General features: G+C 40.4%; 1 protein-coding gene and 1 pseudogene across 11 annotated transcripts in view; both read right to left on the bottom strand.

Moving 5' to 3' along the window:
* The window catches only part of GABPB1 (GA binding protein transcription factor subunit beta 1), a 79,810-nt gene that overhangs the window by 55,409 nt on the left and 6,779 nt on the right, over positions 1–17,622 (bottom strand). For 4 of the 11 annotated variants that reach the window (XM_017022053.3, NM_001320915.2, NM_001320910.2 and 1 more), the window contains exon 2: positions 15,575–15,598. The exons of 6 other annotated variants lie outside the window; for them this stretch is intronic. Coding sequence is in view for 1 of the 5 variants with exons in the window: in XM_024449883.2 (XP_024305651.1) it covers positions 9,706–9,720 (15 nt within the window). In the remaining 4 variants the exon portion in view is untranslated. Of the gene's footprint in view, positions 1–9,705; positions 9,740–15,574; positions 15,599–17,622 lie in introns of all 11 variants that reach the window. One more of the 11 variants, XM_024449883.2, reaches the window with a different exon arrangement.
* RNU6-94P (RNA, U6 small nuclear 94, pseudogene) lies at positions 16,628–16,732 on the bottom strand (annotated as a pseudogene).

Consider the following 17,622-nt stretch of genomic DNA (forward strand, 5'->3'; position numbering starts at 1 on the left):
TACTGAGTAAATGAAGAGCAAAGAGCTTATGTTCTGGGATAAGAACTTCACAATAAAGAAGTAAATAAGTAGTAGTAGTAGTGGTGGTTGTGGCAGTGATAAACGGTATGAAGAAAAAGTAAGGCAGAGTAAGAAACAGAGTACTAGATTAGGGATAGGGAATTGCCATTTTGGAGAAAGTGATTACAAAAGGCCTCTCTGAGGAGGTGACAACTGAGTAGAAACAGGAATGAAAGGGAAAGCAAACCTAGGGAGGATCCAAAGGAAGCATCATGATGCACAAGTCATTCTCTTGGTTGCTTAGCATCAAAACACCTTCTTGTCCTTGGGGAATTCCCTTCCATATGCATCTTGAAAGAAGGCAGAAACCTCTGCCTACTACTGAATATTTGCTTTCCTTGCTTCCCATAAGGCAAGGGTACAGTCATATGACCTCCACTCCACAAGAGAAGCATCTGTGCTGGACCTTAATGTAGAAGATAGTGCATTTAAAAAGCCGAGAGTGTGTAGAACCCTTAGTGGCAAACGTGGCAGCAGATTCCAATAACAGTAGTGGTAGCAGCTTCCTCCTGTGATAAATTCCTTTTCTGTTAAATTAACCAGAGATTATTTGACTACTTAGAACTAAGAATTCTGGCTGACCCTGGTGATCCAGGGAAATGGAACAGCATATGTTAAGCGCCCTGAGCTACAGTGAAGAAGTATAACAGGAAATGCAATCATAGAAATACAAATGGGCTGGATCACATAGAACCTTATAGGCACTAGAAAGAGTGAATTTTATTGAGATTACTAGCAAGTTGTCAGAAAGTTTTAAACAGGAGAGTGTTGTGATGTGATTTACATTGTTAAGAGGCTACTCCTGTTATCATTTGGTTAATACATAGTGGAAAGCAAGAACTGAAACAAGCGTACTAGTTAGAAAATTATTCCAGGCAAGAGCTGCTGGCACCTCAGGCCTGGATGATACCTGTGTGGTTATTAGACAATTTACCTTTAATTGCTATATATTTAAGTTAAATCTAACATCATATTTTATGCTTTCCATTTGTCCCGTTCAGTTTTTTTTTTTGTTTTTTGTTTTTTGTTTTTTTTGAAATAGAGTCTCGCTCTGTCGCCCAGGCTGGAGTGCAGTTGCATGATCTCTGCTCACTGCAACCTCCACCTCCTGGGTTCAAGCGATTCTCCCGTCTCAGTCTCCCAAGTAGCTGGGATTACAGGCATGCACCATCACACTCTGCTGATTTTTGTATTTTTAGTAGAGACGGGGTTTCACCATGTTGATCATGCTGGTCTCGAACTCCTGACCTCAAGCAATCCACCTGCCTCGGCCTCCCAAAGTGCTGAGATTATAGGTATGAGCCACCGTGCCCAGCCCCCTGTCCAGTTTCTTTTCTCTCCTTTGTTGTTGCTGCCTTCTTTCCCCTCAATTCTTTTTAGCATTCTATTTATTTCCTCTACTGATTTGGAAGTTATACCCTCTGTTTCTGTTCTTTTGTTGGTTTTCTAGAAATTATACCATGCAGTAAAGTCTAATCAAAATCTTTATTCTCTCTTTTCCCAAAAAATCTATAGATTTTAAAAGACATAAGCAACACATCAACAAAATGCAATATGTAGACCCTGTTTGGATTCCAGTTTGAAGAAACCAAATATAATTTTTTAAATCTTTTTTTAGATAATTGGGAAAATGTGAATACTAACTACATAATGCTAAGAAATTATTGATTTTTTTCTGTATATGATACTGGTATTATACTTTAAGCCCATATCTTTTATAAGAACAATATATTTATGGGTTAAATAATGTGATTGTTAGGACTTACTTTAAAATACTTGGGATATATATAAAAACACTTTAGTCATGAATTCATAACTGTTGAAGGTGGGTAATAAATACATAAGGATTCATTATACTCTTCTCTTTTACATATTTAAAATTTTCCATAAGAGGTTTTTTTTAAATTACTATCCTTCTAGGTAAGACAAGGACCTTAAATCCTAGACTCTACCTATCCTACTTGTTATACCCTTGTTTTTAATCCATTAGACATTTTTACTATGTTTAATGCAATCCATATTCATTTTCATTCTCTAAATATGTATCATTTTCTTTACCTTTAATTTACTCTTCATACATTTCATTTTGTGATTTGAGATCAATTTCATCCTGTCCTAAGTATATCCTTTAAAAACATACTGTCCAATATGGTGCATGTGGATATTTAATAAAAATTAAGTTTATTGGCTTAATAACTTATTAATAACTTAATAACTTATTAAGCCAATAAACTTAAAAATTCAGTTTATTGAATTTTCAAGTACTCAATAGCCCTATGTAGCTTATGACTACAATATTGGACAGCACAGAAAAAGAACATTTCCAGGCCAAACATGGTGGCTCACACCTACAATCCCAGCAGTCTGTAGGACTGAGGTGGGAGAATCACTTGAGCACAGGAGTTTGAGCCTGAGCAACACAGCGAGACCTCGTCTCTACAAATAATTTTAAAAATTAGACAGGTCGAGGTTGTGTGCATCTGTGGTCCCAGGTACTCAGGAGGCTGAGGTGGGAGGATTGCCTGAGTGATCACATTATCATTATATTATCACATTACTTCATCCATAAATATATTATTTTTAGCTCAGTGAGCCATGATTGCACCACACTCCAGCCTGGGTGACAGAGTGAGACCTGTCTCAAGAAAAAAATAAATAACATTCCCAATTCCACAGAAACTTCCATTGAACACTGCTGCTTTAAATGATCTTTCATAGGTGAGATGTTCGTGACAAGTTGTTTTTATCTGAAAATATCCTTATTTTACCATCATTCTTTAAATATATTTTCACTGGGCATAAAATTCTAGATTGACAGGTAGTTTTCATTCCATATAGTAGACATTTCACTGTCTGCTGATTTCCACTGTTGCTGCTGAAAAGTCATCTAGCCAGGCGTGGTGGCTCACGCCTGTAATGCCAACACTTTGGGAGGCTGAGGCATATGGATCACCTGAGGTCAGGAGTTCGAGACCAGCCTGGCCAACATAGTAAAACCCCATCTCTACTAAAAATACAAAAAATTAGCTGCATTTGGTGGTGGGCACCTGTAATCTCAGCTATTAGGGAGGCTGAGGCAGGAGAATTGCTTGAACCCAGAAGGCGGAGGTTGCAGTGAGCCCAGATTGCACCATTGCACTCCAGCCTGGGCAACAAGAGTGAAACTCGATCTCAAAAAAAAAAAAAAGAAAAAGAAAAAAAGAAAAGAAAAGTCATCTATTACTCTAATTCTTGCTCGTTTGATGGTTTTCTTTTTCTCCAGCTACTTTTGGTTTTCTGTGACTTTATTACAATGTGTTTAGGTGTGGACTTACTATTATCCTAATTAGGATTCATTGAAATTCTTGAATTCTGGTTTGGTATCTTTCCTTGGTTCTGGAAAATATCAGCCATCATCTCTTCAAATGTCCCATTCTCTCTTCCTTTCCTTCTGGAATTCCAATTAAGACTCTCTCACTCTATCCCCATATCTCTTACACTGTCTTCTATATTTCCCAACTTTTTGCCTCTAGCCATCATCTATGCTACATTCTGGATGGTTTTATCTGATCTATATTCCAGTTTGATAATTTTTCTGATGTGTCCAATCTGCTGCAAATTGCATCATTAAGTTTTTAATTCAGTTACTTTATCTTTTTCTTTTTTTCCTTTTTTTTTTTTTTTTTTTTTTGAGACAGTCTCATTCTGTCACCCAGGCTGCAGCATGGTGGTACAACCTTGGCTCACTATAACTTTGACTTCCTGGACTCAAGTGATCCTCCCACATCAGCCTCCGGAGTAGCTGGGACTACAGGTGCATGCCACTACACCCAGCTAATTTTTTTGTATTTTCTGTACAGACAAGGTTTCACCATGTTGCCCAGGCTGGCCTCAAACTCCTGAGTCAGTTTTTATTCCAAAAATTCGATTTGGTTTTTTCAAAACTATAATGCCACTTAAAAACAATCATTTCCTGTTCCCTATTCTCAAATTTGTCACTTATTTCTGTAAACACAGTAAGCTTGGTTGTTTTATTATATATCTTTTAATTCTATTATATGATGTTTATCTTTTTCTGCTGTCTGTTGTTTCTACTGGTTCATGCCTATGGTTCCTTGTCTCCTCGTACGTCTAGTTATCTTTGACTATGTGCTGATTACTGTCCTTAAAAAATTGTGGGGAGGCCTAAGATGAAGGAGCCTTCCTTTGAAGAACATTTGCATTTGCTTCTGACAAGCACCTGGAGTCAGGAACCAACCTAAATTAAGTATGGCTTACGGTTCCCTTTCCCACCTATGCTTTGTAAAGACTTTTGTTTGCTTGTTTCCTTTCTCTTTTTTCCTCCTGCTCTGCTCAGTACCAACACAACTTGTCTTGAAATTCCTTGATATTTGATTGGGAGGTAGGTGATGAAAAGCGGTTAGTTCTGGTTCATCCTTACCTCTCAGCTGTAGATATATGGAGCCCAAGCCTAATTAGGCAAGAATATCTCATAAGACTTTACATGTCCACATGTTGGGTGGGCTCTGCATCTTAATTTCTGTCCACCTCACCCCATAAGACTGATGAACAGAAACCTAAATTTCTTGATATTGGCAAACATATTGAAAGCAAAAGTGGCTTCAGTTCGCCAGATAGTCTGTTAACTTCCTGCTTTAGGCTTTCTTCCAGAATTTGGCTTAACAGATTCCCTTTTCTTCCCAGTTCTTCAAAGCTACTAAGGTAATGTTCTATATATTTTATCCAACATTTTCAATTGTCTTCAAAAAGAAGACTGGTCGGCCGGGTGCAGTGGCTCACACCTGTAATCCCAGCACTTTGGGAGGCCAAGGCGGGTGGATCATGAGGTCAGGAGTTCAAGATCAGCCTGGCCAACATGGTGAAACCCCATCTCTATTAAAAATACAAAATTAGCCAGGCGTGGTGGCATGCGCCTGTAATCCCAGCTACTCAGAAGGCTGAGGCAGGAGAATCACTTGAACCCAAGAAGCAGAGGTTGCAGTGAGCCGAGATCATGGTGCTGCACTCCAGCCTGGGTGAGACAGCAAGACTCCGACTCAAAAAAAAAAAAAAAAAAAAAAGAAGACTGGTCTAATCTAGGCCACTATTATCCAGAAACAAGATATATTTGGAAGTGACCTTCCTGATGTACAGCTGACCCTTTAACAACCCAGATTTGAATTGCACAGTCCACTCACACACTTTTTTTAATATATTAGAAAATGATTTTGAGGCTTGGCATGGTGGCTCACGCCTGTAATCCCAGCACTTTGGGAGGCCAAGGCAGGTGGATCACCTGAGGTCAGGAGCTCAAGACAAGTCTGGCCAATATGGCGAAAACCCATCTCTATTAAAATAACACAAAAATTAGCCAGGCATGGGGGCAAGTGCCTGTAATTCTAGCTACTCGGGAGGCTGAGGCAGGGAGAACTGCTTGAACCCAGGAGGCAGAGGTTGCAGTAAGCCAAGATCACACCACTGCACTCCAGCGTGGGCAACAGAGCGAGACTCTGTCCCAAAAAAAAAAAAAAAAAAATTATTTTGAGATCTTTGACAATTAAAAAAAACCTCACAAGCCTAGGTACAGTGTCTCACACCTGTAATCCCAGCACTTCAGGAAGCCGAGGCAGGCGGATTGCTTAAGCCCAGGAGCTTAAGACTCCATCTCTACAAAAAAATTTAAAAAAATTTTTTTAATTAGCCAGGCATGGTGGCACACAGCTGTGGTCCCAGCTACTCAGGAGGCTGAAGAAGGAGGATCACTTGAGCCCAGGAGGTCAAAGTTGCAGTGAGCCATGTTCATGCCACTGCACTCCATCCTGGGCAACAGAACAAGACACTGTCTCAAAAGCAAAACTCACAAACTGCATATTTAAAAACTTAAGAAAAAGTTAGGTATGTCAAGAATGCATAAAATATATATCGATATTGGTCTATTTTATGGTTTACTACCATTAAATATACACAAATCTATTATAAGAAGTTAAATGTAGCCAGGCATGGTGGTACATGACTGAGAGGATGAGGCAGGGGGATCTCTTAAGCTCAGGAGCTTCAGGCCAGCCAGGCATGGTGGTGTGTGCCTGTAGTCCCAGCTACTCAGGAAGCTGAAGTGGGAGGATCACTTGAGCCCAAGAGGTTGAGGCTGCAGGGGGCCATGATCGCACCACTGCACTCCAGCCTGGACAAAAGAGTGAGACCTTGCCTCAAAAAGAAAAAATTACATGTATATGTGTGTGTATATATATATATATATATATATATATATATATATATATATATATATATATATAATATGAAGAGGTCAGAGCCCATCCAAAACTCTAGCCCAGCCCAATCCAGCATTTCTCAATTTGTGTTTCCCAAAGCTCCAGACTTCAGTAGCAAGAAGGACAGTGGCTAAAGAGGTAAGCACACGTTGGAGGTGACAGAACAGCAAGTTTCAGACCCTTTTCACTCTCACATAAACAAGACCACCTCCAACTGTTATGAGATTCTGTAATATTATTTGTAATTTTTAAAGCATTTTTTGAAAGACTAAGCCAGCAATAAAAGAATCTTAAAAAGTAAACTTTTACTAGTAAACTCTCTTCTCTTCAGACATAAATGGTTAAAAGTTTTGAATCTCAAGCAAAAAGTACTGGCTGAGTGCAGTGGTTCACGCCTGTAGTAATCCCAGCACTTTGGGAGGCTGAGGCAAGCAGATCACTTGAGCTCAGGAGTTCAAGACCAGCCTGGACAACATGAAGGAACCTCATCTCCACCAAAAAATACAAAAAATTAGCCAGGTGTGGTGGTGCGATCATGTGGTCCCAGCTACTTGGGAGGCTGAAGTGAGAGGATCACCAGAGCCCAAGAAGTAGAGGCCTGCAGTGAGCTGAGATTGCCCCACTGCACTCCAGCCTGGGTGTCAGAGACAGACCCCGTCTCAACTGAAAAAGAAAAAAAAAGAATTACTTAGTTCTTTTTCATTACTGTTCCATACCCAAATCCTTACTAACTTAAATCCAGAAAAAAACTACTACATTTATTTGCAAGTATGTGCTTTATCTGTGCTCCTCTTTTACTTAATTTTAGACTCTGGCCAAATAAAACTCAGGTAAAAGTAGTATGGATAAATGAGAACCTCAAAAATCAGATTCTGAAATATAATTCATTCAAAAAAAAATTTAAACTCTAAATTATATAGCAAAAGCTTAGTTTTTTTGGTTTTTGTGTTTTGAGACAGAGTCTCACTCTGTGGCCCAGGATGTAATGTAGTGGTGAGATCTTGGCTCACTGCAACCTCTGCCTCCCAGGTTCAAGTGATTCTCCTGCCTCAGCCTCCCGAGTAGCTGGGATTACAGGCACGTGCCACCACACCCAGCTAATTTTTGTATTTTTAGTACAGACGGGGTTTCACCATGTTGGTCAGGCTGGTCTCGAACTCCTAACCTCAGGCGATCTGCCCACCTCGACCTCCCAAAGTGCTGGGATTACAGGTATGAGCCACCACACCCGGCCAAGAGCTTGTTTTAAGTAGCACCCAACATGTTATGACTCCTTGTCTCCATTAGGTTAAACTTCTTTGTCTTATATACAGTTACTCCCAAACATACTACATAAAAAAATATTTCTGTGCTGTTATAAACTTCCCTAAACTTCAAAGAGATTTGTTTTTGTTTCAGAGCTCTGTCTCCCAGGCTGGAGTGTAGTGGTGCAATGTCAGCTCACTGCAACCTACACCTCCTGGGCTCAAGAGATCCTCCCACCTCAGCCTCCCGAGTAGCTGGGGCTACAGGCAAACACCACCATGCCCAACTAATTTTTCTATTTTTTGTAGAGACGGGGCTTCACCATGTTACACAGGCTGGTCTTGAACTCCTGGACTTAAGTGATCCACCCGGGCCTTGAAAAGTGCCAGGATTACAGGCGTGAGCCACCACACCCGGCCTAAACCTCCGTTTTAAATATTACAGTATAAGCTATCTACCACGATCACTTCCTTATTCAAATCTATTTTTGTTTCTTTGAATTTCAGACATCAAAAGATGTCATTAAATTGGAACCATAGGCCAAACACAGTGGCTCATGTCTCACTTTGGGAGGCCAAGGCGGGCAGATCACCTGAGGTCTGGAGTTCAAGACCAGCCTAGCCAACATAGTGAAACCCCATCTCTACTAAAAACACAAAAATTAACCAGCAGCTGGTTGTGGTGTTTCCCACCTGTAATCCCAGCACTTTGGGAGGCCAAGACGGGCAGATCACTCAGGTGACCCTGACCTCAGGGTCAGGAGTTCGAAACCAGTCTGGTCAACATGGTGAAACCCTGTCTGTACTAAAAATACAAAACTAGCCAGGCATGGTGGTGCGTGCCTGTAGTCCCAGTTACTCAGGAGGCTGAGGTGGGAGCACTGCTTGAGCCTGGTAGGCAGAGGTTGCAGTGAGCCAAGATCACACTGCTGCACTCCAGTCTGGGCAACAAAGTGAGACTCCATCTCAAAAAACAAAAAAACAAATAAATAACCAGTAATTAACCAGGTATGGTGGAAGGCACCTGTAATCCCAGCTATCTGGTAGGCTGAGGCGGGAGAATCACTTGAACCTGGGAAGCAGAGGTTGCAGTGAGTCAAGACTGTGCCACTGCACTCCAGCCTGGGCAACAGAGTAAGACTCCACCTTGGAAAAAAAAAAAAAAACTTCTTGAAACCATGTTAATAAATAAAATTCTTACTTTCCACCTAAGCTATATATTTATCAGATATACATTCTCTATTTCTCTATCTACATTCTATCTGTGCTTATCAGTGTCCCTATTATGACTATAAAATTAGTCATAATTTTCTAAAAATTAACTCAGAATATAAATGTCTACAGATAAAAAATATTTATTGATGACTACTTAATATTCATGTTTAAGATAAGCTCGAAAGTTCCATATCTAAAGTACATAAATTATACCCATACACACTAAACTAAGAAGTAGTAAGGATTTGTCAGTTAGCATGTCCAGAACTTCCCAGGCACATGACAAAACCTAATCTTCCTTCTGCATTACCTGATAATATTATCACCCTCTTTACTTCCCAATTTAGAAATCTGGGAGTTATCTTCCACTCTTCCCTCTGCCTCATCTTCTATACACAGCTGGTCTCAATGTTTGTGTCCCCACAAAATTAACATGTTGAAATCCTAACCCCAAGGTGATGGTATTAGTAGATGGGGACTTTGAGTGATGATTAGCTCATGAGGGCAAACCTTATCATTCCATTCATAATTTCATGGATGGAATTATTGCCAGATAACTGCTTTGTCCCTTCACCATATGAGGGCACAGCAAGGTGGCTCCATCTATAAAGCAGGAAATGGGCCCTCACCAGCCATGGAATCTGCCACCACCTTGATCTTGAACTTCCCAGCGTCCAGAACTCTGAGAAATAAATTTCTATTGTTTATAAGTCACTAGTTTATATTTTGTTATAGTACCCCAAATGGACTAAGACAGTTGGTCAAGTTCTATGAAGTCTTCTTCACATATTTTTCCTTTTTCAATAGGCAATACTTTCATATAGCTCAAAAGCCCAAACACAGAAATGTATACATTGAAAATCCTCAATGGAAGTATTTACACTGCTCACTGCTCCTCCTTGGCCCACCCTGGACCCACAACCCCAACAAGTTATTACCTTTACTAGTTTCATGAGTATCCTTCCAGTATTTCTATAATCACCAAAAAAAAAAAAAAAAAAAAAAAACATTACCACATAACACTGCTCTCCACTTGCTTTTCTTGCTTAACACATGAGATCTTTTCCTATTAGTTCACAGAAAGAACTTCCTCATTTTTTTATACAGCTGCATAGTATGCTATTATTGTGTTTTAATATGCATTTCTCAAACTCCTAATGAGACCATGCATCTTTATCAAATGTTTGTTGGCCACTATGTTTCCTCTTCCGAAACTGCCTATTCATATTCTTTACCTATTTTACCATTTCATTCTCTTTGTAGGAGTGCAATATGTATATTTCTGGTTTATTACATATGGTTTATTACCATATGTAATATTACATATTACATATGGTTTATTACCATATGTAATATTACATATTACATATGGTTTATTACCATATGTAATATTACATATTACATATGGTTTATTACCATATGTAATATTACATATTACATATGGTTTATTACATATTACATATGGTTTATTACATACTCCTCTCAGTCTGTTTTAAATTTGTATATATTTTTTTCTTTAAAATTTGTATATTTTAAATGTTAATGTTGTCATAAAGTCTTAAATTGTGGTTTGGCCAAATTTATCAAAATATCTTTCCAAAATGAATATAGATATAATTATGCATTCCAATCACCTACAGAATACAGTGGCACTGACCATATGTATATTTAACTTGAAAATGATTTAGGCCAGGCACGGTGGCTCACACCTGTAATCCCAGCACTTTGGGAGGCCAAAGCAGGTGGATCACCTGAGGTCGGAGTTCGAGACGAGCCTGACCAACATGGAGAAACCCCGTCTCTACTAAAAATACAAAATTAGCCAGGCATGGCGGTGCATGCCTGTAATTCCAGCTACCCCGGGAGGCTGAGGCAGGAGAATCACTTGAACCTGGGAGGTGAAGGTTGCAGTGAGCCGAGATCGCGCCATTGCACTCCAGCCTGGGCAACAAGAGTGAAACCCCATCTCAAAAAAAAAAAGAAAATGATTTAAACAGTTGGCTACTCACCATTCTACTTAATAAACATAAGTCCCAGCATGAGCCTGAAATATGAATCTATTTCCTCAGTAGGTCTCAGTTCTCAAATGCATCTTATGGAATGAACTTCTCATTGCAATGGATAAGTTAACGTTTTATAAGATTTTATTTTGTACAACATAGCCCACAAATGTAAACCGTCTTCCTCTAGGGCACAATTGAGGAAACAGTGATATATTTCATCACTAGAGGAAAAACTGACTGTTTTGGAATTATTGAGAGATGGTACCTTACTTCCCAAATGGCAACTTCCTACAAGTTAATTCTGACTATACAGTATTTTCCCCTAATATGCATAATCATTAAATAAGTGGTAACTCCAACGCGTCTCAGACCTTTAAGGATATGACCTGTGCCTCACTGCAGCCTCATCACTCACCACTTACCCCTTGGATTTATATTTTAATACAGGGTTATTTACAATACCCTCATGTGCTATTCTGTCTCATGATTCTACTCCTTTATATGTTATCCAGCCTAAGACGTCTTCCCCTCCCGAACTTACCTAAGTAGTCCTATTCTCCCTCCAAACGCAGTTCAGACATTACCTCCTCCGATAAGTTTCCCTTGACCTCAGCAAAATGAATTAATCACTTCTTTATTCTCTCATTGTGGCCTTAACACACTTCCATTATTAGATAGATTCCATCACATTACAAATGATTTATTTATAAGCTTTCCTCTCCCATAAGCCTTAGGAATTCAGACAAGGATTGATCTCTTTTTTTTTTTTAACCCTTATAGGAGTAAAGGCTAATGGTTTATCTTATTCTTATGTGTATTTTAGTATCTAGCAGCTTCTAATATACCACTCAACAGATGTTTGCTAAATTAAACAAGTCCTTTCTATTCAGCATTATTATAAACACTGTAAACCTACACACAAAAATTAAAGGCAAGATCTTTAACCAAAAATATTTCACAAACTGAAAAAATTTGTAGATTATAACAAAAGTAGTTTGTAGTTCAGTGTTTTGTTTAAGTGGGTATAGACACCATAGATCAGTGCTCTTCAAACTGTTGGTCATGACCTATTAACAGACTGTGAAATCACTTTAGTAGGTTAAAGCCAATGTTTTTGAAAATATCAGCATATATCAAATGTAGTTATCACACATGCACATAGTAACATATATAGATAATTACCATGTAAGATATATTTTTTATTGGGAGTCAGAATAAACAATCATCTGAGAGCTACTTCTATAGTTGTTAGATAGGTTTCAAGGTTTATATTAACAAGTTGTAGTAGTCAAAGAAGGCCTCTTCAATGAAGGACTTAACATTTGTTTTTGTTTGTTTGTTTGTTTGTTTTGAGATGGAGTCTCGCTCTGTCGCCCAGGCTGGAGTGCAGTGGCACGATCTTGGCTCACTGCAAGTCCGCCTCCCGGGTTCACGCCATTCTCCTGCCTCAGCGTCCCGAGTAGCTGGGACTACAGGCGCCCACCACCACACCCGGCTAATTTTTTGTATTTTTAGTAGAGACGGGGTTTCACCATGTTAGCCAGGATGGTCTCGATCTCCTGACTTCGTGATCCACCCGCCTCGGCCTCCCAAAGTGCTGGGATTACAGGCGTGAGCCACCGTGCCCCGCAGGACTTAACATTTGAAGCATAATCTGTCTCCCCATCATCTCTTCTCAGCTCATCTATCAATCTCCCCATCATCTCTTCTCAGCTCATCTATCAATCTCCCCATCATCTCTTCTCAGCTCATCTATCATTCTCCCCCTTAGTCACTGTGCTCTAGCCACAAAAGTCAGCAATTCTTTGAACAAGGCAAATGTGTTCGCACTTTAGGGTCTAGCACAAGTTGGTTCTGCTGTCTAGAACTCTTCACTTAGATACTGTATGGCTTGCTCCTGCACTCTAGGACACCCAGGGAGCAGCTTTCCCAGACCACCTAAGATAGCTACCACATCCCACCAATCTATCCCCTCACCTCTTTTTTTTTTAGATGGAGTCTCGCTCTGTCACCAGGCTGGAGGTGCAGTGGTGCCATCTCGGCTCACTGCAGCCTCCACCTCCCAGGTTCAAGCGATTCTCCTGCCTCAGCCTCCCGAGTGGCTGGGACTACAGGCACACACCACCACGCCTAGCTAGTTTTTGTATTTTTAGTAGAGATGAGGTTTCACCATGTCGGCCAGGATGGTCTTGATCTCCTGACCTCATGATCTGCCCGCCTCGGCCTCCCAAAGTGCTGGGATTACAGGCATGAGCCACCACACCTGGCCAATCAAATGTAGTTACCACACATGCACATAGTAACATATATAATTACCATGTAAGATATATTTTTTATTGGAAGTCAGAATAAACAATCATCTTTTATTACCTACTTTTATTCCTTTTCATTTTACTCATTACCACCTAACATCACGTATTTGTTTACTATGTGTCCCTCCCCACAAACGTCAGCTCCAAGAAAACGGGACTTTGTCTTCTCTTTTGTTCATTACTATAACATCAGAGATTAGAACAGTGCCAGCCGCAGGGCAAACATCCCTGAGTAGGCTCTGACAGGCAAGGAAAGGAAGAATGCATGGAGTTGTGCTTAAGCAAGGTATATTACAGAGTAAACACCAGCTTGATAATGTTAAACAGTAAGGAATAAGGCTGAAGAAGAATATAAAAAGGTTTGAAAGTCAGAAAGTAGAATTTGGACTTTATCTTGTAAACAACTGGGAGTCATTCAAATTTTTGAGCAAATGGTGACCCTTTCAAACATTTATTCAGCAAGGTTCAATTCACTTTGTTTGACAGAATAGACAGTGCAAAGGTCAATAGCACATGTTCTCTCCTCAGGCTTATATGTTTAGCAATGGGTTCAAAATATTTTCAGGAAAATCATTCTGGCAGCCATATGCAAAAAGGATGCAAGGAAGGAAAATCTAAAGTTTAAAGGAAGCAAATAATAGGCAATGCAGAATTCCAAGACAAACTGGGAGCCAATAAAGAGTAAAAAACTGTGCTCACGCCTGTAACGCCTGCACTTTGGGAGGCCGAGGAGGGCGGCACCTGAGGTTGGGAGTTTGAGACCAGCCTGACCAACATGGAGAAATCCCATCTCTACTAAAAATACAAAATTAGCCAGGCATGGTGGTGCACGCCTGAAATCCCAGCTACTCAGGAGGCTGAGGCAGGACAATCGCTTGAACCTAGGAGGCAGAGGTTGCAGTGAGCCAAGATTGCGCCATTGCACTCCAGCTTGGGCAACAAGAATGAAACTCCGTCTCAAAAAAACAAAAAATAATAAATAAATAAAGCAAAAGTATGCATCGCAGACTACTTCAAAATTTAAGTATGATAAAATTAAAAGAAATGGTGAAAGCAGGTGAGAGGCTGAATAATAATAAATCTAAAAGTGATGGAAATTCCTTGAGCGTTCCAACAGAAATATCCAGTAAACTACTGGAGCATCAAACATGGATGGGACACACATTTGGGAGTCATCAGCATATAAAACATCTAAGAGGGGAATAATCAAGTACTGATGAGACTAACAGTGCTAAGAGGCTCATGAAACAACAAAGAAAACAGAATAGTCAGAAGGGAAAACCAGGATGGCAAACTAACACAAACGGCAAGGAGAGAACATTAAAAAGCCTCAGTGGAAATAGTAACACATATATACTAGCTGAAAAGAGTCAGGATGAAGCCAATATTATTGACAAAAAAGATGTCCTCTGAAGCGACAATCTGAATTATGCTATTCCAAAACTGCGTAAGTTAGGAAAGTAGTAGTAAAAGAACTCAGGAGTTGACTAGCCTGGCCAACACAGTGAGACCTTGTCTCTACCAGGAAAATACAAAAATTAGCCAGGCATGGTGACACATGCGTGTAGTCCCAGCTACTCGGGAAACTGAGGTAGGAGGATCACCTGAGCCTGGGGAGGTCAAGGCTGCAGTGAGCTGCAATTGTACTCCAGCCTGGGCAACACAGTGAGACCCTGTCTTCGAAAAAAAAGTAAAAACTCACGGCAGCAATTGTAATTCAATTCTTAAAATTTTTGAAATGAAGAGAAATGCAGCAGATAGCTAGAAAGAACAGTAGCAGCAGTTCATCAAAATTGATTTTTTTTCCTCCCAAAGTACAGATGTCTGTACATTTTTTTTTGTTTTTTTTTTAGATGGAGTCTCGCTCTGTCGCCTAGTCTGGAGTGCAGTGGTGCGATCTCGGCTCACTGCAAGCTCCGCCTCCCGGGTACACGCCATTCTCCTGCCTCAGCCTCCCGAGTAGCTGGAACTACAGGCGCTCGCCACCACGCCCAGCTAATTTTTTTTATTTTTAGTAGAGACGGGGTTTCACTGTGTTAGCCAGGATCGTCTCGATCTCCTGACCTCGTGATCCACCCGCCCTGGCCTCCCAAAGTGCTGGGTTTACAGGCATGAGCCACCACGCCCGGTGAGAAGTCTGTACATATTTTAAGGTAGGGAAGAAAAAACATTGCAAATAACAATCAAAGTGACCAGAGAGGTAAAGTTAACTGTGGCAGCAGGATTCTTCTTCCGTTCAATTTACAAAATAAGATGAAAGAACAGTGATTTGTCATGGTTACAATGAAAAAAAAATGTGCAAGCTTGTACCCTGTTTTCCTTTTTCACTTATATAGAAGTAAATGGCATCTATTAAGAGTTAAAGAGGAAGAAGGAATATGAGACAACAGAAAAATGCAATTAATAAGATGATTGCCAAGAAGTAGGAGGGGCCTATTTGGAATTGTTCAGCGTAAATTTATAGTGGCCAAGAAATCTTCATAATTACTCACCTTCCTCCACAAATATGCTGTGACCTGTGAGGGAAAACAGAAGAAATCGATGGTGGAAAAATCTGACAACAGGAGTCCAGTAAAATATAAAATAAGTGATTGATGTCAAAGTGCAGACTGTATCTAGTGCATACAGGAGTTAAGCTAAACGTCTCAGACTGTTTGGGTTGCTGTAACAAAATACCATAAACTGGGTAGCTTACAAACAACAGAAAGTTTTTTTTTTTTTTTTTTTGTAGAGATGGGAGTCTCACTATGGTGCCAAGGCTGGTAGTGAACCACCTCACCCAGCCCAGGAGGCTGAGAAGTCCAAAATAAGGCACTGGCAGATTCAGTATCTGGTAAGGGCCAGCTTCTAGACATCTGTCTTTTTGCTGTAACCTCATGTGGAAGAAAGAGCTAACAAGCTGTCTGGAGTCTTTTTTTTTTTTTTTGAGACAGAGTCTCACTCTGTCGCCCAGGCTGGAGTGCAGTGGCGCCATCTCGGCTCACTGCAACCTCCGCCCCCCCCAGGTTCAAGCGATTCTCCTGCCTCCACCTCCTGAGTAGCTGGGATTACAGGCACCTGCCACTGTGCCCGGCTAATTTTTGTATTTTTAGTAGAGATGGGGTTTCACCATCTTGGCCAAACTGGTCTTGTACTCCTGACCTCCTGATCCACCCACCTCAGCCTCCCAAAGTGCTGGGATTACAAGCATGACCCACTGCACCCGGTCTGGAGTCTCTTTTTTAAGAGCACTAATCCCACTCCTGAGGGCTCTACCCACCTGAGCTAATCACCTCCCAAAGGCCCCATCTCCTAATGCCATCATCTTGGAGGTTAAGATTTCAACATGAATTATGGGGAGACACAAGCTTTTAGACCATAGCACTTAGGGCAAGAAACTGAGGGTCACTATGAATGGAACAAGTAAAGGAACACAGGAAGAATAATCACATTGGCAAAGATCACAGAGTTCACACAAGTCATTTAGGGCACAAAGGAAATTTTTTAGATCATTCACTTACACACCATACAAATTTTTTTTATTTTTTATTATTAAAAATAATAATAAATATGGAACACATCATAAATTTATGTGTCATCCTTGTGCAGGGACCATGAAAATCTTCTCTGCATCGTTCCAATTTTAGTATATGTGCTGCTGAAGCAAGCACTATACTACTAATTATTTTTTCCTCTGTTTGGATACATGGGAAGTGCTGTGGAAATAAAGGATTCCAGGAGTCAGAAGGGGCTATACATCCAAAACCGTTATCATAATGAGAAGAATTGACCTAATTCCAAAGTTCAGTACTGTAATTTTACAACCACCTCAGTCTCTACATGCACAGAATGGGTGCATTAAAGACAGGTATCACAGTGTCATCTACCCACCTCCTTTAAAGAATCACTACTATAGGCTGGGCGCAGTGGCTTATACCTGTAATCTCAGCACTTTGGGAGGCCAAGGTGGGCAGATCACTTGAAGTCAGAAGTTGGAGACCAGCCTAGCCAACATGGCTAAACCCCGTCTCTACTAAAAATACAAAAATTAGCTGGGCATGGTGGCGGGCACCTGTAACTGCAGCTACTTGGGAGAATCACTTGAACCCGGGAGGCAGAGGTTACAGTGAGCCTAGATCACACCACTGCACTCCAGCCTGGGTGACAGAGTGAAACTCCATCTGGAAAAAAAAAAAAAGAATCACTACTATAGTAAACCACCATAGTAAAAGTATCTTATCCCTCAAGTGTAATGAGACATAAACAAGCTAATTGGGTTATAGGAATGCTCAAGCCTCTTTCAGAAAAAGATTCTACATTATGTAATATAATCACAGCATTAGTGGGTTTAAGATATTCTTTAAAATAGAATCACAGTCAGGACCAACAGGAGTAGTTTTTTAAATTTTTTTTGGAGACAGAATCTTGCTCTGTCACCCAGGCTGCAGTACAGTGGCACAATCTCCGCTCACTACAACCTCCGCCTCCCAGACTAAAGGAATACTCCCACCTCGGCCTCCCGAGTAGCCGAGACACAAGCACACACCACGTCTGGCTAATT

Source organism: Homo sapiens, chromosome 15 (genome assembly GCF_000001405.40).
Source record: "Homo sapiens chromosome 15, GRCh38.p14 Primary Assembly".
NCBI lineage: Eukaryota > Metazoa > Chordata > Mammalia > Primates > Hominidae > Homo > Homo sapiens.